Source organism: Homo sapiens, chromosome 12, assembly GCF_000001405.40.
Source record: "Homo sapiens chromosome 12, GRCh38.p14 Primary Assembly".
NCBI lineage: Eukaryota > Metazoa > Chordata > Mammalia > Primates > Hominidae > Homo > Homo sapiens.
The window spans coordinates 104,117,048-104,138,599 of record NC_000012.12 but is presented as its reverse complement, the minus strand read 5'-3'; the positions used below and the strand labels follow the sequence as shown (position 1 = coordinate 104,138,599).

At 39.8% G+C, this 21,552-nt stretch overlaps 1 protein-coding gene and 1 pseudogene across 20 annotated transcripts, besides 6 other annotated features; one reads left to right on the top strand and one right to left on the bottom strand.

Annotated features, from left to right (window-relative positions):
- Positions 207-506: a silencer, noted in NCBI's record as "silent region_4790". NCBI's record gives its function as "represses an Ori minimal core promoter by ATAC-STARR-seq in GM12878 lymphoblastoid cells {active_cell/tissue: GM12878}" and the evidence as "EXISTENCE:reporter gene assay evidence [ECO:0000049][PMID:35858748]".
- On the top strand, positions 390-21,514 carry NFYB (nuclear transcription factor Y subunit beta). Of its 20 annotated transcripts, NM_001414523.1 has the most exons (10): positions 390-459; positions 3,068-3,152; positions 6,762-6,846; positions 7,711-7,789; positions 10,083-10,176; positions 12,356-12,486; positions 15,177-15,374; positions 17,279-17,360; positions 18,121-18,200; positions 18,831-21,514. In NM_001414523.1, the coding sequence occupies exons 5-10, from the start codon at positions 10,083-10,085 to the stop codon at positions 18,861-18,863; spliced, it is 618 nt and encodes a 205-aa protein (NP_001401452.1). In that variant the 5' UTR covers positions 390-459; positions 3,068-3,152; positions 6,762-6,846; positions 7,711-7,789; the 3' UTR covers positions 18,864-21,514. The 20 variants fall into 20 exon arrangements, 18 of the variants coding, with proteins under 18 accessions (NP_001401452.1, NP_001401455.1, NP_001401447.1 ...); NM_001414526.1 differs by lacking the exon at positions 6,762-6,846; NM_001414518.1 differs by lacking the exon at positions 7,711-7,789.
- Positions 557-656: a silencer, noted in NCBI's record as "silent region_4789". NCBI's record gives its function as "represses an Ori minimal core promoter by ATAC-STARR-seq in GM12878 lymphoblastoid cells {active_cell/tissue: GM12878}" and the evidence as "EXISTENCE:reporter gene assay evidence [ECO:0000049][PMID:35858748]".
- Positions 646-1,237: an enhancer, noted in NCBI's record as "H3K27ac hESC enhancer chr12:104531141-104531732 (GRCh37/hg19 assembly coordinates)". NCBI's record gives its function as "activates a minimal SCP1, AML or CMV promoter by ChIP-STARR-seq in primed H9 embryonic stem cells {active_cell/tissue: H9 hESC(primed)}" and the evidence as "EXISTENCE:reporter gene assay evidence [ECO:0000049][PMID:30033119]".
- Positions 757-836: a silencer, noted in NCBI's record as "silent region_4788". NCBI's record gives its function as "represses an Ori minimal core promoter by ATAC-STARR-seq in GM12878 lymphoblastoid cells {active_cell/tissue: GM12878}" and the evidence as "EXISTENCE:reporter gene assay evidence [ECO:0000049][PMID:35858748]".
- Positions 897-1,026: a silencer, noted in NCBI's record as "silent region_4787". NCBI's record gives its function as "represses an Ori minimal core promoter by ATAC-STARR-seq in GM12878 lymphoblastoid cells {active_cell/tissue: GM12878}" and the evidence as "EXISTENCE:reporter gene assay evidence [ECO:0000049][PMID:35858748]".
- Positions 1,238-1,831: an enhancer, noted in NCBI's record as "H3K27ac hESC enhancer chr12:104530547-104531140 (GRCh37/hg19 assembly coordinates)". NCBI's record gives its function as "activates a minimal SCP1, AML or CMV promoter by ChIP-STARR-seq in primed H9 embryonic stem cells {active_cell/tissue: H9 hESC(primed)}" and the evidence as "EXISTENCE:reporter gene assay evidence [ECO:0000049][PMID:30033119]".
- Positions 13,275-13,364, bottom strand: RNA5SP370 (RNA, 5S ribosomal pseudogene 370; annotated as a pseudogene).
- Positions 21,515-21,552: the final 38 nt, after the last annotated feature.

The following is a 21,552-nucleotide window of genomic DNA, read 5'->3' as shown; positions in this document are numbered from 1 at the left end:
GCAGGCAGGCTGAGCTCAGGCGGCTGAGGCACCTCCACGTGGCGGGGGAAGGGGTGACAAAGAGAGGGACGCCCGAGAGATCCCGCTTCGCACAGGCCCGGGTCAGCACCGGGAAGGAGGCCCGCCTAGACCCGAACGGCGCGCCCGGGCAGGGCCCTGGAAGACCTCGCGCCTAGAGGAGCGGCATCCGGAGCGGCGCGGAGGCCTCACAGGAACGCGGGACTGGGCCGGGGGCGGGGCGGGGCCGGGGGCGGGGCGGGGCGGGGCGGGGCCGCGGCGGGCGGGCGCGCGGGCGGCGCGGAGGGAGGGTGTCGCGCCGAGGGAAGCGGCCCGCGGCGGAGGGAGGGGAGGCCGAGTCCTGGAAGCGGAGCTCCGCGCTGGGACTGGTTCCTTCGCAGCCATTTTCTGTCCAACCAAACAGCCGATTGGAGACGGGAGCCAACCAGGGCTGCATTGGAGGTTTGTGTCTCGCTTCGGCCAATGATCGCTCCTAAACCGACTCCACTTTAGCTCGAATGAAATGTCCGTCTCCTCCCGGCGCCGTCCCCGCCGCCAACGCCGCCGCGGCCGGGGGCACTAGCCTCCCGCCCTCCCGCGCGGGCCGAGGCCGGGCCCCGCGCCTGCGAGGCCGCTCCCGCAGCGGGCCGGGCCGGGGAGCGGGCGCGGGGCCGCGGCGCGGCTCTTTGTGCGCCGGGCTGAGGAGCGGCGGGACGCGGGCCAGGCCACCTCACCCTCGCCGCCGTTGAGCTCCGGGCCCGGGGCCGAGGAGGGGCCGCGGGGCTGCGTCGGGGCCCCGCTCTCGACGGCGTCCCGGGCCGGCTCCATTTTGTGCGGGGAGCCGGCCGAGGGGCGGGAGACGCGGCCCGGGCCCTGGCCCCGTAGCCCCGGCGGCGGCGCGAGTCCCCGGGGGCGCCCTCCTCCCGCCCGCGGGGCTGTGGCGGGGCCCGGCGCTTTGTCTGCCCGCACATCCCGGGGGCCGCGCGGCGGGTGGGAGGCAGGCGTTGGGCGCGGGGCCGGGGCGGCCGGGCGAGTCAGGGGATGCGCTCTGGGGGCGGCCTCCTGGCACTCGCAGGGCTGACAGGTCGCCGGGACCAGGCCGTGGGGCCGGGGCCACCCAGGCACCTGCGTGGGGAGGAAGGCATGGCTTTAGCTTCCCCGCAGCCTGGTTTGCGCGTAAAGAATGCAGCCATCTGGCGGTTTGCGGTCCCTGTACTTGCCCCGAAGGTGGGAAGGAAGCCCTTCGGATTGGACTAAGGTTTTAATCATTAGTGGTGGGAGGCGGGAGGATATGCAGGGCCTTAAAGAACGGTAGTCTTAGAGAACAAAGAATTACAGAGCACCCACAAATCGTAATCTCGCCCAAAGCACTCTAACAGGATAATTTAAACAAGGTTAGGTAGCCTGCGACCTTTAAAAAAATGGCATCCCACTAACCCGCATGGACCCCATAGTTGCGTGGTTCGTGCTACAAATCACTGGGGTGGTTTCATCTCTCTTAGTATGGAAACTAATCAGCAACATAAAGTGATGAAAGCAAACGGATCAATATCAGTGGCACTAATCAGTGGGGGGTTTATTTGTAAAGTATTGAAAGTTTAACCAAAATTCCTTAAAAGGCAAATTATTCCTTCCCTGCATTGCTCTTGTATCTTAATTTAAGGATTACTGTATATTGATGCAAAACTCTGGTTGTTGATGCCAAAGAATGGAGGGTGGAGGAAGGGACTACTGCTTTTCTTGGATACAAATTTGCATTTCTTAAAACATTAAACAGATGTATGCATTCCCTTGAGCTTTTACATATATCAACCTGCCCTTAAGAAAATATACACCATATGAGGTGACAGTGTTTTTCTTTAATGTACTGAGTCTAAATATATACTGAATCAACTATTTGGGTGAGTGAGTGTGGTGTGGTATGACTCCCTGCCCACACCCCCCTCTCCCATTCCAAGCAAAATACATAAATATAGCTCCCATGTTTTAAGTGTTCTGAGGGCTTATTTTTTCAAAGACACTCTTTAAAAAATAACATTTCTCGTTACAAGGAAGGACTTTTCTGAGCAGTTTTGGGGTTAGAGGATACTATTAATATTTGAAAAGAAATTATAAATTACTTTTAATATTATAGCAAACGTCAAGCAGTTTTTGCTACCTGGACCTTTTTAGTGGCATTAAAAACTTTCAATTCAGTGGCTACAATTTTTTCTGCTATTTGCTAGATTTCATGCTTGGATGCGTATCAGTATATCTTCTCCCTTTAAAATTAACACTGAAAGGATGTGTTTTTGTTTTGGCATCCTACCCCTCCCCCATTTAATTGTTTCCTTTGAGAAAGAATGGAGCAAATGAGAAATGAAACTTGTAACACAGCAATTGGTACTAATTTGTTCAGCTATTTATGCCTTACAGTGAGACTGAAGTGCTATTTCGATGCAATTTTAGTCAAAAATGGTGGTGCTTCAAAATTATAAATAAGGGTCTTGATTGTGTTGCTTTTTTGATATCTTCTCAGTGCAGAATGTATCTTCATTACAGTATAATCTGAGATTCTTAATTGAAAAGCATTATATTCTCAGATAATTTTTTCCTCCTCTTGAGCTATAGAATGTCTAAATGTTACTCTGAAACATTTAAGAAAACCATCACCAAAAAATTAAGATGATAAGGGGTGTGTTTGCATCTTGAGTGTTAATGTTTTAAGTAATTTAGATGTATAATTTTTGGTCTCTTGCATATTATATAATTTGGTCCCTTTTTGGTGTATTGTAATGAATGTTTATGATGAATATGGCTAAATTCAGGGTTATGTTGGAAAATCCATTTTCTCCTTTCCCCATGGAATTAACTTGTTTTTAAGTTCTCCAAAATAAATCTTTCAAGTCAACAAACATTTATTGGGTGCCTTTTTATACTATTTTATACCATGTACTCCATTGATTAAGAATAGTAGTCAAAATTATACAAGCCCTCTTTAATTTTATGAGAAAAAAAGCCTATAAGTGATACATTTGATGTATTTTTACTATTGATAGATGTTAGGTCCTAATAGATGTTTATCTTTTAGGTTGAAATCACAAAGATTAGACACCTTTTTAGATAGGTGTTCTTCAGCACCACTGACAACACGGTTCTGACAGTATTTCATGACAGTAAGTATATTTTACCATTTTGGTTGTTAATTAGATTTGAATAGTAATTGGCTGGAAATAAAATTGTAACCAATTTATACTGGAGGTGCCTGGTAGAATGAATGCATTTCAAGTCTAGACAGACAGTACCTCTGCTCATTCCTGTTGCTTCCTTATTTTCAGCTTCTTGCATATATTATTTCCCATGGGTCCCTAAGTGCTGTTGAGGCTACAGGGTAGCCTGTCCCAGCTGTAAAGGGGCTGTCTGTTTAGCCAATTAATTGAATACTTAGGGGACAGTTATGCCCAGAATGGAAAATGCTAACTCTTAAGTGCAGTAGATATGGGAAGAAGAGAGGCATGGTGAGCCTGGGTACTTGGGAATGTCACAGAGGGATCCTGCAGACCTTGAACTGAGCCTTGAAATAGAGGGTGGGAGTGGATTGGTGAAGGGTGTCACCAAAAGCAAAAGCCTGATGGCAGGATGGGCAACTTAAGTTTAGGGGATCGGGAGTAGAGGTGCATGGTCCAGGGTAGATCTCAAAGGATAATGTAGGAAAGAGAAAGCACTTGTCCCCTCTGGATATTTAATTCTGGATGTGCTACTATATCTGTAACCTCGGGTGTGTTACAGCTTCTTTGAGCTGTGGTCGCTTCACTCCTAAAATGAAAGAAGTGCACTCAGTGATCCCTAAATAAAGCACATTCTAGCACAAAGATTTTTATTAACCATGAAGATAGAGAAAAGTAGGAAACAAGTTTGGTTAGGTTAAATGTGCGATCTGCTCATGTGAAGTCATGAAAATGAGGTTTGGATTTGACACAGGAAGCCTTTAGGAACCTTTGAGAATAGGTTCAAGAGTATAGAACTGGTGTTGTGGTGAGATTAGTCTTATAACAATATGTTAAGATGGGCTGGGTGGTAATCCAGTGGAAATAGGAAAGGGAAAGCATATCTAGGAGACATTTTTAAAGAGGTAATAGATGAGGTAGAGCTTGAAGGAGATGGAAGAACCTAAGATGATGCTGGTATATTTGGCTGGGCAGAGTGAAGGGCTGGTATTCTTCTTAGTAGAATTACAGTAGTGGAAAGGGAAATCTCCCTCCTTTCCCCGTTGCAGGGAATGGGGCAAGGTGAATTTCATTTCCCAATATCTTAAATTTGCCGTGATGAGATATTAGACATGCCCTACAGGCATGGGTTGCTTGAGTGGCAAGCAGAATATTGGTTGTAGATTTGGCATTTATAAGCATAGAAGTGATATTTAGTGAGTTCATTAAGAAAATAAGGGAAGAAAGAGAAGGATAACCTTGGGTGAAACAATTAGGGGGTGGGGAGGAAAGGATATTGCTTTGGAAATCAGAGTAGGAGAGAATTCCAAGCATAAATGTGTGGCGAGTAGTAGCCAGCACTACAAAGAACAGTCAAGTAGGATGAGGACAAGATCACTGGCAGCTTTTAAGAGTGGTTTCATTCTGGGTTGGGGTTAAAAAGTACATGTTCAGGAGTTTAAATAGGAATGAAGAGGTGTCTTAACAACTGTCAGGGCAAGAATGGTAGCTAGGCAAGGGTATGGGGCAGAATTAAGATTTTATATATCTCTGTGTACTTCTGTATGCTTAATGAGGGAGACTAAGCATGTTTAAGGAAGAGTGAAGGAGCTGGTAAGGAGGATTGAAGATACATTATAGAAGAGGAATCTTTGTATTATTTCTTATCCTCAGATAGATAAAAGGAATGTAACCCAGAAAACAGGTAAAAGGGTAAATTAAGAGAGAGAAGAATCTCTGCCTGGAAGAATAATGAGAACCGTATTTGAGGGGGCAATACTAAGATTACATTTGTTAAGTTCTTACTATGTATCTTGCACTTTGCTAGGTGCTTTTTATACAATAGCTTCCTCATAGCAACATCACTTTAAAAATGGGGAAGCTGAAAACACAAAGAGAGCTCATAAATGGGGAGCCAAGCTTCAAACCCACGAAATCGGTCCTAAGAGCCAGTGCTCCTCACCGTCGTCCAGGGTGCACTTCTTAACCATCTCACAAACACCATCCTGGTTTGAGAAGCTAATTTCAGTGTTTTCAGTGTATAATCAGTAGCCTTAGAATGTAAAAGGGACAAATTAAAGAAGTAGGTGTAAAGACTGTATGAAAAACTACCAGGCAGGAATGCTGTAGAGAGTAGTTGGCATCTGAGGCCCTGGATTTCAGTCCCATTTACTGTGTCACCTCAGGCAAATCATTAGCCTCATGTACCTCAGTTTTCTCACCTGCGTCACAGGCTTGTGAACATTGCATGAGATATTTAGAAAGTGTTCAATAAATGTAAACATTAAAGAGGGCAGTATTTGTTTGTGGAACAAATTATTAGCATAGTTTAAATACGGCTACATCAAAAAAATAAAGATTTATTAGCCCACTACCTGTTTATTTCAAATAATATTTTCAAGAATAATTCTGTCAATTCAACTAAATAATGAGAATAGTCATTAAAATGAATTTATTGGGATTTAACCACTCTTTGTCCATATTTATCAGTTCCTTGAGTCTAACGATTCATCACTGTCCGTGTCCCCTTGTCATTATCCTACATGCTGTGCTCTTCCAGCCTCATTACCTGGATGAAATCCAACACTTTGGCTTTTGTAGTCTCATATCAGGCCTTTCAAGTGTCACACTGGACATACTGGCACCACTGTAAACTCACGGTCATTAGCTTCAGCTAGGCTTACACTGTCCAGCACTCCCCTCCCTTTCCTTTCCCATTCTCTGCGGTGACAGCTGTCTGTCTCTCCAGCTGCAAGAATCCCAGCATTATCCTTGGTCTTCCTGTATCTCTATCAGTCAGTCACCAAGTCACCTACTAAAAAGCTGTCTAGTTGTTCTGCTTCTCTTGATCTCCAGCGCTCTCACCCAGACCTGATGCTAAAATGATCATTATCTTGCTTGAAGTCATGCCCTGACTGCAGCATTGCAGTCCTCACTGGTCTTCTGTGCCTATTTGTGCTCCCCTCCAGGTCGGTTTCTGTACTGAACTGTAGCCAGAGGGATTTTTTTTTTTAATGTGATTTGTGCTCTTCTGCTTAAAACTCTTTGATTTCCTCTTGTCCACCGGACACTGCTTGATCTAGCCCCTCCTTAGCGCCTTCCAATCCACCAGTACTGTATTTCTTGGTTTTCTCTGCCTAGAACATTCGTTTCCCACCTTTCTTTTTGCCTGACTGATTTCTGTTTATCTGTCAGTCTCATTTTCAATGTCATTTCCTAAGATAGCCTTTCTTGACCCCTCAGACTAGTGAGGTCCCTTTTGGAGTAAACTCACATAGCACATAACAAAACATCTTTGTTTTTCTTCGTACTTGGCACTAGCAATTACTTAATTATTTGTAATTATTTTAATAGCTATATATACCACTTACTGAGTATGCCCATTGTACTATGCTGTCTTTACATGGATTAGCTCCTAACCTGTACAGGAGCCTGGGAGGTTAAGTCTTGTTCTCATCCAGTTTGTTCACGGTCTCATGGTAAGTGGCAGGGAATTCAAACTAGGTGATTCGATTCCAGAGCCTGTGTCCTGGAAGGACTAATAGGCTCTGTTCTCTACCCCTTCACCCTGCCTCCCAGGTTATGTAACATTTGTCCTGCAAGCTGAGGACAGAGACCTTGTCTGTTGTTGACAGCTACGTGACCAGCACATAGCATGAACCTGGTAAATACTAAGCGCTCACTCAGTAAATATTTGTTGGCTGGCTTACTGACAATCTACAGTCTGTTTTATAAGTTTTTATAGGATGTTTTAGACCTAGAAAAAACCTTTGGGATGCATCTAGCAAGTTTTTTTCCATCATTCTTATATATAGGCGAATGGCTGGCATATTCTAAGCATCAAAGATTAGGTTGACTTATTGAGTGAAAGGTACTAAGTGCCATAGAGCTTTAAAGAACAGAACATTTGTTTTTGAATTGCAGAAAGGATAAATCAGAAAGATTAAAGGAGGATAGAGAACACTGGGATTAAAGTCTGGGGCAGGATTTTAATGGTAGAAAGACAGAGGAAAGGAAGACAGAAGGCGTGAAATGATAGAAAGCTAAAACTTGCAGAACTGAAGACACATACAGTTAAGCAGATGATGTGCGGCTTCTCTTCAAAGGAGGGAGGATGAGATCGAATGTCTGTGGGGTACACTACGTGCCAAACACTGTCTTTAGCAGCTTTCTAGTCTTTATTTAATTCTGACAACTCTAGGAAATACTTTTATCTTCACTTTTAGAAGACTGAGGTTTAGCGAGGCTAATGCTGTTAGTCCAAATGATAATCATGTTGCTAATTCCAGTGCATGACAAGATAATATGATTTAAACTTTTTTCCTTTAATACTTTTGTTTGTGTTATATTTCTAAATTAATTCATCTCCCAGATCCGCCTGGTTATTTGAACAGTGTCTTGCTCATAGCCAATTTTAAAAGACTTAATGGTATCATGTAAACACTCATTCAGGAAAGAATTTCTGTTATTCTTCCCAACCCACCGCCTGCCCTCCCCACCCCCAACCAAAGTTTGTTTCCAATTGTAGGCTCTGAAACAACCACTTTGGTCCTGTCTCCTGCACCTTGATCTTCCTTAGGTTATTGTAAAAGCTAGTCAACTCACAGGTATCATAATTGATCATTCTTTTATGGCTGTAAAAAAAAATCCATCATGTCTATTAAAGGATACTCTCCTAGTATGTTAGCATTTTAAGATCAAAATAGCATTTGATTTTTGGGCACTGTTTCACATTTATTTGTGTTAGTTTAAGATGGGGAGGGTGGTATTGTTATTTACATTTTATATGGAAATACATTTAATTGGCAGGGATGCTTATTTTCAGGGGATCAGTAGGAGAGTCAGAATCAGGTCACTGACTTTGTTGTTTACTTCTTAGAGGCTACTAAAAGTATCAAATAGGTACCCTATGTTCACAGATTATTAAAGGTCTGTAAATTCTATTTTCTACCCCCTTACAACAACTATATAAATTATAGAAATGTGTCTCTATCTACAGTTATATTAGGCATCACAGTCAACAGATGCATGAAAGAAATGCCGTGTTATTGAAGACCTGGAAACTAGCCCAGTATTTTAATATTAAATAAAAATTCAACAGAGATGGAGAAGACATGTGTTATACAAGGACTAAAATTTTGCAATTAATAACATTAAGTTTATACTGGGTCCTGGGCCTTAATGAAGGGTCAAATTTCTTTGTTCAGCCTGAAAGTATGTATGAATTACACTTGATTTTTGCTATACTTTTTATTCAGATAATGCATTTAACATTTTTTCACTCACAGATATCTTATTTTGAGTAGTAGTATTTGCAAAACAGAAAGCCTTCTAGGATCTGCCATGTTGGTGAAATTGAATGGAGCCAGCTCAGGGCTTATGATTTACTTTTTTCCAGACTTTCCCTCTTGGAATTCTTTTAGCTCTCAGCAAAATTAATTAAGCAGGCTTTTTTTAAAATAGGAATTTTAACTCTTATTCTTGTCTGTGCAGGTAATTTTCCTATCTTTATACATAGATCTTCCTGACCCCTCCTCCTGACCCCACTCTGTCACTGAGGCTGGAGTGCAGTGGTGTGATCACAGCTCACTGCAGCCTCAACCTCCTAGGCTCAAGTGATCTTCCCACCTCAGCCTCTCAAGTAGTTAGGACTACAGGCACATGCCACAACGCCTGGCTAATTTCTTAATTTTTGTTTTTTTTTAGAGACAGGGTCTCACTGTGTTGCCCAGGCTGATCTTGAACTTCTGGGCCCAAGTGATCCTCCCACCTTGGCTTCCCAAAGTTCTGGGATTACAGGCATGAGCCACACCTGGCCCTGATTTGGCAGGGGGAGAGAAAATTAACCTTTGACTAGAATCAGGAGTTTATGGGTTCATTCAAAACATGGGTGTACTTTTGGCTTGCCTGGGTACAGAATTGTGCAGAGAATCCGCATGCTTCTTATACCAAGTAACAGTTTGAACGGAGACATTGTCTATTTTGGAACTTCTATGAGAAAGCAAAGAAAGTTCGCAAGCAGGAGCAAAAGGAAAATCAGGGTTTAGCAGGAGAGCTGGAAGTGATGGATACAGGTGAATTCCAGTTGATGACTTAAGCTGATTTTTTTTTTTAAGAGACAGGTTCTCACTACATTGACCAGGCTGGTCTGGAACTCTTGAGCTCAAGCAGTCCTCCTGCTTCAGCTTCTGAGCAGTTGGGGCTACAGGTACATGACACTGTGTACAGCTTTACTAAGCTGATCATCATTCCAGGGATAAATTAGGTTGTAAGTCAGGGTTGCCTGTGGTACTATATTTGAAGATTATGCACTTAAAAAGAAAGAGGCATATGCTTTAGATTCATTTCCTTGTCGCTATTGGCCTTATGCTTATATCACTTATGGAAGATGGATAGGGAAATCTTGAATCGTGGACAAATTGTGGGAAAGTTTCCAAATCAAGAAATATAGGCTGGTTGCGGTGGCTGATGCCTGTAATCTCAGCATTTTGGGAGGCTGAGGTAGGTGGTTTGTTTGAGCCCAGGAGTTCCAGACCAGCCTGGGCAACATAGCAAAACCCTGTCTCTGCTAAAAATACAAAAAAATTGGCCAGGCATGGTGGTGCATGCCTGTAGTCCAGCTACTCAGGAGGCTGAGGTGGGAGGATTGCTTCAGCCTGGGAGGTGGATTCTGCAGTGAGCTGTGATCACGCCACTGCACTCCAGCCTGGGCCACAGAGTAAGACCCTGTCTCAAAAAAATAATTAATTTTTTAAAAAAGAAATATAAATTCTCTTTTAGTAAGCTTAAGGCTATGAAAAGTATAATTGATGCATCATCCTGTGACAGTTTATAAGTGTTGAATCTGTTACGTTTGTTAGTACTTTGAAAAGTATTGAAAAACTGTTTTTCTCCTCATAGATGGATGGTGACAGTTCTACAACAGATGCTTCTCAACTAGGAATCTCTGCAGACTATATTGGAGGAAGTCATTATGTTATACAGCCTCATGATGGTAAGCAAGCCACAATTAGAACCAAATTCTCAAGTTGAAGCAAGTTAGAAAGTGGACATTTCATTAATATGGTGTTCTAGGCTACTTGTGTCTTTATAGGAAAATTTACAATCTTGTGTTACGGTTCAATGAGAAAGTCTAAAAAGGCGTACCATGCTATTTTTATTAGAAATAGTCTTCAAAAGAATGAGTCCTTGAAAAGACTTTTACTATAAAAATACACCTTGTCTAAAATCTGTACAGTTTCTTTTAAAATTTGTTATCGACTTCCTGTTTAAATGTTAAATAAGAAATTTATAATCAATTGATAGGGTAACTAAAATAATTATTTAGAGGGTGAGTTAAATTTCTAGCTATTATATTTCTTGCACTTATGATTTATTTTTGGTTTTCATTCAATATTAACTTTGAACTATGTCAGGTATTAGAATGGTAGTGTTGGCTCAGTGTGGTGCTCACACCTATAATCCCAGCAGTTTGGGAGGGCAAGGTGGGCAGATCACTTGAGCTCAGGAGTTCGAGACCAGCCTGGGCAACATGGTGAAACCCCACCTCTACAAAAAAATTAAAAAATTAGCTGTGCTTGGTGGCATGTACCTGTAGTCCCAGCTACTTAGGGGGCTGGGGGCTGAGGTGGGAGGATTGCTTGAATCTGGGAGGTAGAGGCTTCAGTGAGCCATGTTTGCACCACTGCACACTCCAGCCTGGGTGACAAAGTGCAAAGTGAGACCCTGTCTCCAAAAAAAAAAAAAAAAAAAAAGGCAGTGTTATGTTGGCCTATCAGAAATAATTTACTTTTGTGGCATTTTGGTTTGTAAAAAAAATTTTTTTTTTTTTTTTATTTTTTATTTTTTTTGAGATGGAGTCTTGCTCTGTCGCCCAGGCTGGAGTGCAGTGGCACAATCTTGGCTCACTGCAACCTCCGCCTCCTGGGTTCAAGCAATTCTCCTGCCTCAGCCTGCCCGTTAGCTGAGATCACAGGCGCCCAGCACCATGCCCAGCTAATTTTTTTTTAGTAGAGACAGGGTTTCGCTGTGTTGGTCAGGCTGGTCTCAAACTCGTGACCTCAGATGATCTGCCTGCTTCAGCCTCCCAAAGTGCTGGGATTATAGTCATGAGCCACCACGCCTGGCCTGATTTGTAAAATTTTTAAAAATTGAGATATATTTTTAGAAGAAACTTGCCAGAGGGATTAATTTCATCCTGAAACGGATATTCAAATAAATTAATTCTGATAACATCATTTTAAACACATAAAAACGTAAATTGAATCAACTTAAGTGCCTTGCCTCCTTACTTAGTACATATGAAGAGTGGGCAGTTTACTTACAGGATACTGCATTTAGTCATAAAAGGATGTTATTGGTACTGCGCAAGCTTCAGTTATAGCTAAATTTATATAATTTGAAAAGTCCCTTTTTGTATGAACAGTTGGATCACTGCTCTAGCTTTGTTCAAAAACTAGTTACATTAGTAAGCCAACTGGATCAGTAATAATCAAGTCCAGTTTTTCCATTCTTTAAAGAATTTTATATAAACTTTATACAGACAAGACAACTTTATATCAACTTTAAAAGTTTTATATAGACTTTTACATAAATGAGTTTATATAAACTTGGGTTTGGAGAAACATACAACCTCTTAATCTAGCAGTATTGAAGGAGCCATAGGTTACGGTCTGTAAGTTTTATAGCTAAGTCGTATAATAAATATTTATGAGTACCTACTCTGTGGAAGGTGCTGTACCAAGCTGTAGGAAACACAAAGCTGATTCGTGACATTAAGTAGCAAAAATCTAATAGGAGAAATGAGGAATAATAAAAATTCTAAAAATGTGTAAGAGAAAAGGCATAGAGAAGCACTTACATTTTATGAAAGAAAAGATCATTTTTGAAGGTGGTATGGAGATGTTATTTGAGATTTTTGGAGAATGGGCAAGTAGGATTTTAGCAGGTATATTTGAGGATAAAAAGTGTTCTAGGCAGTGAGTCTGAAATTAATAAAAAAAAAGTTCAGTTCTGGCTCTGTAAAAATTATGAAGAGACTTGCTATCCTAATCCCTAAATAATGGTTAAGAGGTGAACCAGAATGATTTTATTCTGGATCACTTTGGTAGTTTTTTCTATCTTGAAATAGAAATAATAAGAAGCTTTACACCTAAATATTTTTATTTCTTTAGATACTGAGGACAGCATGAATGATCATGAAGACACAAATGGTTCAAAAGAAAGTTTCAGAGAACAAGATATATATCTTCCAATAGCAAACGTGGCTAGGATAATGAAAAATGCCATACCTCAAACGGGAAAGGTAACGTAGAGGAGAAATTTAACTAGGTTTTTTCAAGGGAAACACGAAACTACATGAATTCATAGGTCATGGGTACAGTTAGCTGTTGATTTCAATCATTCAGGCTTTCAGCAAATCAAATATTTCTTTCATGTCTACATACACAGTTACTGAACAGTGTCCCATTTTCAATTCTGTCATGTCCCTAAATGTTCTCCTCTCTCCCACTTATTGGAGGCAGATAAAATAGAATTTAGACTGTTTTTTTTTTTTTTTTTTTTTTTTGGGGACAGAGTTTCACTCTTATTGGCCAGGCTGGAGTGCAATGGTACAATCTCCGCTCACTGCAACCTCCGCCTCCCAGGTTCAAGCAATTCTCCTGCCTCAGCCTCCCGAGTAGCTGGGATTACAGGCGTGCACCACCATGCCCAGCTAATTTTGTATTTTTGGTAGAAATGGGGTTTCTCCATGTTGGTCAGGCTGGTCTTGAACTCTCGACCTCAGGTGATCCATCCGCCTTGGCCTACCAAAGTGCTGGGATTATAGACATGAGCCACTGTGCCTGGCCCGACTGTTTTAAAAAATAGGTACGTTGTCAGAACTATCAGGTTTGGGTGTATGAAGCTGTAACTTTTTTTTTTTTTTTTGAGACGGAGTTTCGCTCTTGTTGCCCAGGCTGGAGTGCAGTGGCGTGATCTCGGCTCATTGCAACCTCCACCTCCCAGGTTCAAGCGATTCTCCTGCCTCAGCCTCCCCTGGTAGCTGGGATTACAGGCACGAGCCACTGTGCCCGGCCTGAAGCTGTAACTTCTCCCATCCAAGTACTAACCAGGCCCGACCCTGCTTAGCTTCCGAGATCAGACGAGATCGGGCGCGTTCAGGGTGGTATGGCCGTAGACTGAAGCTGTAACTTCTATAATGTTGCAGTAAATTTAGGTCGTATTGGTCTGATATAGGTGTAATAAGAATTTTCCAAAACAAATCCTGGTATTTGGAAACAGCTATTTTTACATAATTATAGATACTAAGATACATTTAAATTGATATTTTTTTTTCTTAAGTAGTTTTGTCTTCTTAGAACTTTTAAAACTCATTGTCATTGCTCATCACTTGGTCTGAATTAAAATTCACACGTTTTATATCATTTTCTATTGGTAATTTTTCTGTCATTTTATAGTTTAAAAAGACTTATGGAAGTAATAAAGCTTACAAATAAATATGCTATTAAAATACATCACTAAGCTTAGAACTTACAGTTTGAGAATTTTGTCCTTATGTTTTAAGGAAAAAAAAGCACAAATGCTGATTATTGCTTACATAGGCTATGTATGACCAGCTATGCCGCTGGTCAGTACCATAGCCACAAGCCATGTGCTCAGGAGCACCTGAAATGTGGCTGGTCTGAATGGAGATGTGTTGTAAATTTGAAACACCAGATTTTGAAGACTTAGTATGAAGAAAAGAATTAAAATTTCTCATTTAAAAATTGATTCTATGTTTAAATGGTAAGAATTTGGCTATATTGGGTTAAATTAAATATATTAAAATTAATTTTATTTTATTTTATATGGCTACTAGAGAATCTAAACTGACATATGTGGCTCACATTATATTATCTTGCTTGACTGCATTTATGCAGTTCTTGTTTACTTTCTCCAGTATGGAAAATAGGCATGGCGGTGAAAGACAGTGTGTTTCGGCAGGGAGTTTGAGTGGTATTGCTGTTACAAGTGGCTTTGCAATTGCTTGATTAATCCATTGGAGTTTCATTTTTAGACCCCAGACCCTTAAGGGAAAAATTGTTTTTATAATGAAGTGGCAGATGTGTGCTTCTTTAGGCAGGCTTTTTAGTAAACTCAAAACCTGTATCTGACACTGTGTATCCCAAATAATAAAAAAGTCAAAGTCACCGTATGTTATCATTTCTCTCTTTTCCAAGCCTTATGTGAATTCAGTTTTTTAGTTCCTGTTTTGCTTTTTGTTTTCTGGTGTCTTTATTCATGGAAATGCTAGGGCAGAGAAGTGGTACTTATGTCGCCCACAAAATATGCATGGTGGAATGGATTTTCCAGGGGCACTGGGTTATTAAGAGTTTTCATCCTCTGTGGGGTGGTAGGAACATCCAGTGATTGCTGTTTTATATCTTTTTAAAATTTTTTTAATTTTTTTTTTGAGACGGAGTCTCGCTCTTTTTGCCCAGGCCTGGAGTACAGTGGCTCAATCTCGGCTCACTGCAACCTCCGCCTCCTGGGTTCAAGCAATTCTCCTGCCTCATCCTCCTGAGTAGCAGCAATTACAGGCACCTGCCACCACGCCCAGCTAATTTTTTGTACTTTTAGTAGAGATGGGGTTTCGCCATGTTGGCCAGGCTGGTCTTGAACTCCTGACCTCAGGTCATCCGCCCGCCTCGGCCTCCCAAAGTGCTGGGATTACAGGCATGAGTCACCCTGCCAGGCACTCTTTTACATCTAAATTAGATTTGTTTCTGTAAATAGTTGTCAAGGCTTCTCTCACTTGTATTTGAGCTTTTATTCTGACTCTGAGGTGTGGACTTTTGATAGCACACATTGTGTTAATGTTATAACATATATTTAAGAGATTAAATAGTCATAAAGTGAAGATGTGTTCTTCTGAATAGGCTTTCATTTTTGTAGGTTGTTAGGAAGGTGATGGTTATAGTTTCTGTAATTTACCTATGATTTTCTCTTCAGATTGCAAAAGATGCCAAAGAATGTGTTCAAGAATGTGTAAGTGAGTTCATCAGTTTTATAACATCTGAAGCAAGTGAAAGGTGCCATCAAGAGAAACGGAAAACAATCAATGGAGAAGATATTCTCTTTGCTATGTCTACTTTAGGCTTTGACAGTTATGTGGAACCTCTGAAATTATACCTTCAGAAATTCAGAGAGGTAAATAAAATATCTCCCATTGTGCTTTTTTTTTTCTTCTTTTTTTTTTTGAGGTGGAGTATCGCTCTGTTGCCCAGGCTGGAGTACAGTGGCAAGATCTCGGCTCACTGCAACCTCTGCCTCCTGGGTTCAAGCAACTCTCCTGCCTCAGCCTCCTGAGTAGCTGGGATTACAGGCGTGCACCACCATGCCTGGCTAAGTTTTGTATTTTTAGTAGAGACGGGGGTTACACCATGTTGGCCAGGCTGGTCTCAAACTCCTGACCTCAGGTGATCCACCTGCCTCGGCCTCCCAAAGTGCTGGGATTACAGGTGTGAGCCACCATGCCCGGCCCCCATTGTGCTTTTAAGAAAATAAGAGACATTATTTATTTTAACTTTGTAAATGTATTACTTGTTTTAAAAATTCATTTTGTAGTAAATTATGTAACATTTCTCAGAAGTATTTAATTGCTTATATCAGCAGTCCTCAACATTTTTGGCACCAGGGACCTGTTTTGTGGAAAGCAATTTTTCCACGCTCTGGGGTCAGGGGAGGGGTGCGAGGGGTAGATGGCTTCAGGATGAAACTGTTCCACCTCAGATCATCAGGCATTAGTTAGATTCTCATAAGGAACGCACAGCCTAGATCCCTTGCATGCGCAGTTCACAATAGGGTTCCAGCGCCTATGAGAATCTCACGTGGCCGCTGATCTGACCGAAGGCGGAGCTCAGGTGGTAATGCTGGATTACCAGACCCTCACCTCCTGCTGTGTGGCTGGGTTCTTAACAGGCCACGGACACTCATCAGTCTGCAGCCTGGGGGTTGGGGATCACTGACTTATATTACAGTACTTAAATAGAAAGTCCTTTCTTTTTCCCTTTGTTTATTACTAACTATAGCATAGTTATATAATGATTTAAGGGCACAGACTTTGTATTCAGACTACCAGGAGGCTGAATCCCAGCTCTGCCACATGCAAATTCTGTGGCCTTGGACAGATTATTTAATTACTTTAGGCCTTGGTTTCCTCATCTGTAAAATGAGGCTAATAGTACCTATATCATAGAATTATGGATGGTACTAAATAATGTTCAGTGCTCATTAATGTTACTTCTTGCTGCTATTGTTAATTTCAAAGAAGTAGCATTAAAAGTAGTAAGGTTGGAGTCTTTTAGATAATAAAAAGAGGAAGGTATAATCATATGTCTTATTATTGATTGAATTCTTCTATATTTCTTAGGTTTATCTTTGCCTGTAGGAATGGATTTTGTGAAAAGCAGTTGAGTTCAGCATATTTATTTCCACATGCCAGCTTAGGTGTCAGATTCACATTACTTTCAAAATATATTCTTAATATCTTTAGTGTTTGAATCCCATTAAATTAGTGATATTTGCATGGAATAATTGAAGTAGGAAAAGAATGTGTAAATTCCTGACATTATTTTTACAGATCTTCAGTATCATAGGAACCTAGAAGTATTTGGCCAAATTAATTTAGGAATTTTTAACTCTCAGCTTGCTACAGTACTGCCCAGTTGGCTGAGAGACATATATATACTTAAGTGATCACTTGGATCATTTGTAGATTTATAAGCTCAATATTGGTGGTGTTTTGCAGACTTCTTCATCTGTAAGTAGAGTTACCCCTTTGATATGATGTGGAATTAGAATAATTTATTTTTATCTGTAAATACTTTGCTTTCTAGGTCATTACTAACTCTGTCTTGTTAATGATTACAGCTTATATTAAAAGTTAGCCTTCTGAAAGCCTTCTTCATATGTAATTAACCAGAAGTGTTAATAAATACTCTGCTTAGAGTTTGTAATAATAGAAGCTCCTAATTTTAGGCAATAAGTAAGCATTTGCATTTGGAAGACAATTTCATTTGAATATCAGTGACTTTTTTTTTTTCCTTCCTCAGGCTATGAAAGGAGAAAAGGGAATTGGTGGAGCAGTCACAGCTACAGATGGACTAAGTGAAGAGCTTACAGAGGAGGCATTTAGTAAGCATTGTTATAATACAAGTCATGTAGATTGTTAGCAATGATTCATACTAAGTATCTAATGGTATTTTTGGAATGTCAGCAGTGAGTATTTTGACAAAGCACTATTTTAAATAGTTCTTATCAGTTCATGCCCTTTTATTTGAAGTCAGTGAGTGATAAGTGTAGAAAAGTTTAATTCTGTAGACATTATAACCTTTCACTGATAGTTCTGACTGAGTTCTGTAGCCCCTAGTTTTTGGTGAAGATTCATATGAGATAGGAATATTAAGGAAAAGTTTGTAATATAAAATCTTATGATTTAAATAAATTTCAACTCAGTTTTTTTTAAATTGAGTATCATGTTGTCATATTGGTGAAATAAAAGGGCTATGTTGAGTAAATTTCTCATTATATATATTTCTCATATGTAAACTATATGCTGCTCAGTTATATGTTGCTCCTAGCCAAACCTCATGGTGTAGTGTAGTTTAATCATGAATCAGAAACTTCATCCAGTCTGTCTACAGATTTGTACACATGGGCAGTTAGCTAAGGTACATGTTAGAGATAGGAAAATTGAAAAACGCAATATAAAATAATGTGGTTTTTAGGGAACATTTTTTAAAATGGAAAATTGGAGGATTTATTATTTTGTCCAAGACTACATCATTGATACCGGGCAGAATTGTAATGAGACATTAATGGTACAACCTTAAGATACAACCCAAGAAAGTAGATATAGTTCATTTCCCTCTTTAACTAATTTTTTTTCTTTTAGCTAACCAGTTACCAGCTGGCTTAATAACCACAGACGGTCAACAACAAAATGTTATGGTTTACACAACATCATATCAACAGGTACAGTCCTTTGTATTTTAAATGCTTAAAAAATTTGATTGTATCGACAGGGCCCCATGGCTCATGCCTGTAATCCCAGCACCTTGGGAGGCCGAGGTGGGTGGATCACCTGAGGTCAGGAGTTCAAGACCAGCCTGGCCAACATGGTGAAACCCTGTCTCTACTAAAAATACAAAAATTAGCTGGGCGTCATGGCGTGTACCTGTAATCCCCTCTGCTTGGAGGCTGAGGCAGGAGAATCACTTGAACCCTGGAGGTGGAGGTTGCAGTGAGCTGAGATCACACCACTGCACTCCAGCCTGGGCAATAGAGTGAGACTCTGTCTCAAAAAAAAAATTTTTTTTTTATTATATCTATTGATATAGTTAATTTCAACATGCTATTAAGGACCTGATAAAGAAGGTTATTAAAATTGTGTTTTCTCAATGTAGATAACAGTATATAGTGTTCTCTTAATAGTTAAAAATAAGCATATGTTCATATTTGCATAGGAGATTTCTAGAAAGATACACAAGAAATGGGAATTAGACTTGTTATTGTCTTTTTATTCACTGAATTTTTATAATATGCATATGGTACTTTTAATCTCCTTTTCTTTAATTCTGCTCAATTTAAATTTTCTAATCTTAGATTTCTGGTGTTCAGCAAATTCAGTTTTCATGATCTGAAGAAATGATGGAATGGGGAGTGTAGAGAAATGAGAGTCTGTATGATTCTGGAACAGAGACATCAGAAGGAAAGACTGGTGAAAAGATGTATCTTTGTATATTAATAGCTGTAATGTAGCTTCCTGATGCTTGACTAATTGAGGTGTTAATTCTGACTTGAGAATCTTTTTCATGAATGATTTTAAAGAAAAATTTGGATTTTAAAGGTATTAAAATATTTTTGTTTTGTACGAGAGTTTGTTGCTCTGTATGACTCCTGTATGCATTGTATATTGCAATTTATTACTGTCAGAGATTTGTAGACAGTTTCTTATTTTCATATTGAATCATGTTACTTTTGTAATTCAAGTAAGCGGCTGGGTTAATTCATGATGTTTGCCCTTTTAATAAAATATAAGGGTAGAGTTCATTTTGAATGCAAGTTGCCTTTATTATAAATTTGAGTTTGTCTTGGTTATACCTTGCATGATAACCTAGCTAGATTTCTAGCATTTGCTGTATTTATTAAAATTATTATTTTTTTGGTAAAACATTAATAGTTTAAGCAGCATCATTTTTTTAAAAAATGTAATTGAATAAGTGTGAATGCAGAAGCAAATATTGTCTGCCCTGTTAAACTTGGTGCCCATTAACAGTGTTTACACTGTTCATCGTGCCTGTTAATGTAGTTTTAGTTACTGGAGCTTTTTTAAGACTAGATTTGGTTTTGAGTTACATTTTTAAGAATGTGGGAATATATTTAAGTTTAATGTAGTCCTAGTGCTCTTGAAATGGTGCCCCTTTCATTTGGTACATGATTTTTTTTCAAATCATATCTTCAAGTACTATAGTATTCTCTTACAGAAGAGGAGTTTTATAGTCTGATGGTAAATGTCTTCATTTTACCTTTTTAATTGAAATGTCAAGTTTCCTGTTACACTATGGAAACCAAGAAACATCAGACATCATTGCGTGTACAGACCTTTTGCATGGGTGAGTGGATGAAATGGAGAACAGAGTGAGTGCTGTGAACGGTGTGAAATAGAAGCCAACTTCTAGTATGCTGTCTTCATCTCTGCAATAAACTAAACGTAAATAATGTAACTTTGTATAATTTAGTAGTATGTACTTGGATTGTTTCTTTTTGAAAAGTGAGGATTTGTATTTTCTCATCTATTCTTTTTGGTGTTAATTAACTTGAGGGATTTCTTTTTTAAGTTTTTAATATCAAAAATTGCTATTGTATAGTTTGCCTAAAAGGAAGTTGGAGTGAATATCATCTTTGAAGGACACTCAAATTTATAAGGTAGAAGCAATTTCCCAGATATAGGCTGAACAGAAACATTTACTTTGCCAGAAGGAGCCTTTAGGAGTATATGTGGGCTAATCAGAGGTTAATAATGTCCTCATCTCCTACTCTCCATTTAAAAAACAAACTTCATTGTAGTAAATTCAAATAGGAAAAAATGGGGGAGTAGTTAAGCAAAATCAACAGTCATCCTACTATGTTGAAAGAACCAATGTTAATATTTTGATAAATATCATTTGTCCTTTTACTTTGCTAAATATGTATATTTTTATAAAAATGGGCTCATATTGTGCATACCATTTTGTAACCTGCTTTTTTCACTTAACAATATATTGGGAACATCTTTTCCAGGTCATGCATAGTCTTCTGCATCATTTTTATTGGTTTATTATTCTGCTGTATGACTCAATCATAATTCATTTAATCTTCTATTGGATATTTTGACTATTTACATCTTTTCACAGTTATAAACAGCACTTCACTGAATCCCATGTACATCCATGACTGTTTTCTTAAATTCTTTGAATTGCTGGGTTACCAAATATGCAAAATTTTAAGGCTTTTGATACTTCGTTATGAGTGTATTTTTGAGATATTTTCCACTTGATCCAAGCAGTGTGTCACTATATAACTGATAAAAGCACTTGGTCTTTGATTATCAGATACTGTCTCTAAAATTATTTTAAAGATTAATATTTGTTCAAGTAGAGAATGAAGATAAAAAAGGAATTTGAGGCCAGGTATGGGGTGTCTCATGCCTATAATTCCAGCACTTTGGGAGGCCAAGGCAGGCAGATCACTTTGAGGTCAGGAGTTTGAGACCAGCCTGGCCAACATGGAGAACCCCCCGTCTCTACAAAAAATACAAAATTAGCAGGGTGTGGTGGTGCACACCTGTAGTCCCTTACTCCCTGGTGGCTGAGGCATTATCCCTTGAACCTGGGAGGCAGAGCCTAAAGTGAGCCGAGATCGCGCCACTGCACTCCAGCCTGGGTGACACAGCAAGACTCTTGTCTCAAACAAACAGGAATTTGAGTAAATTTTAAATTAGTATATACTACAACAAATTTCCAAACTTCATAATTTGCTAGTAGTGCTAACTAAAATTTTACACCAGGTAAAATCAGGTCACCTTTTTTATGTATTGACTTCATTGTTGGACTTCATACTCTGATGGGAAAGAAAATGGACATTCTGAATGTGTCAGGTGCATAATATCCTAATTTATGCTTGTCAGAGCTGGGGTCTCTGTCTTCCTTGGCCCATGTTGCATTTAACTGAATGTCATGTTTTCTCCTCTGGAACTTCTTATGTATGCAAGCTCCCATGTTAACCTATCATAAAAATGTTTTTTATAATTTTGTAAACATTGCTTTCTTGAGTATCTAAGAGAGAA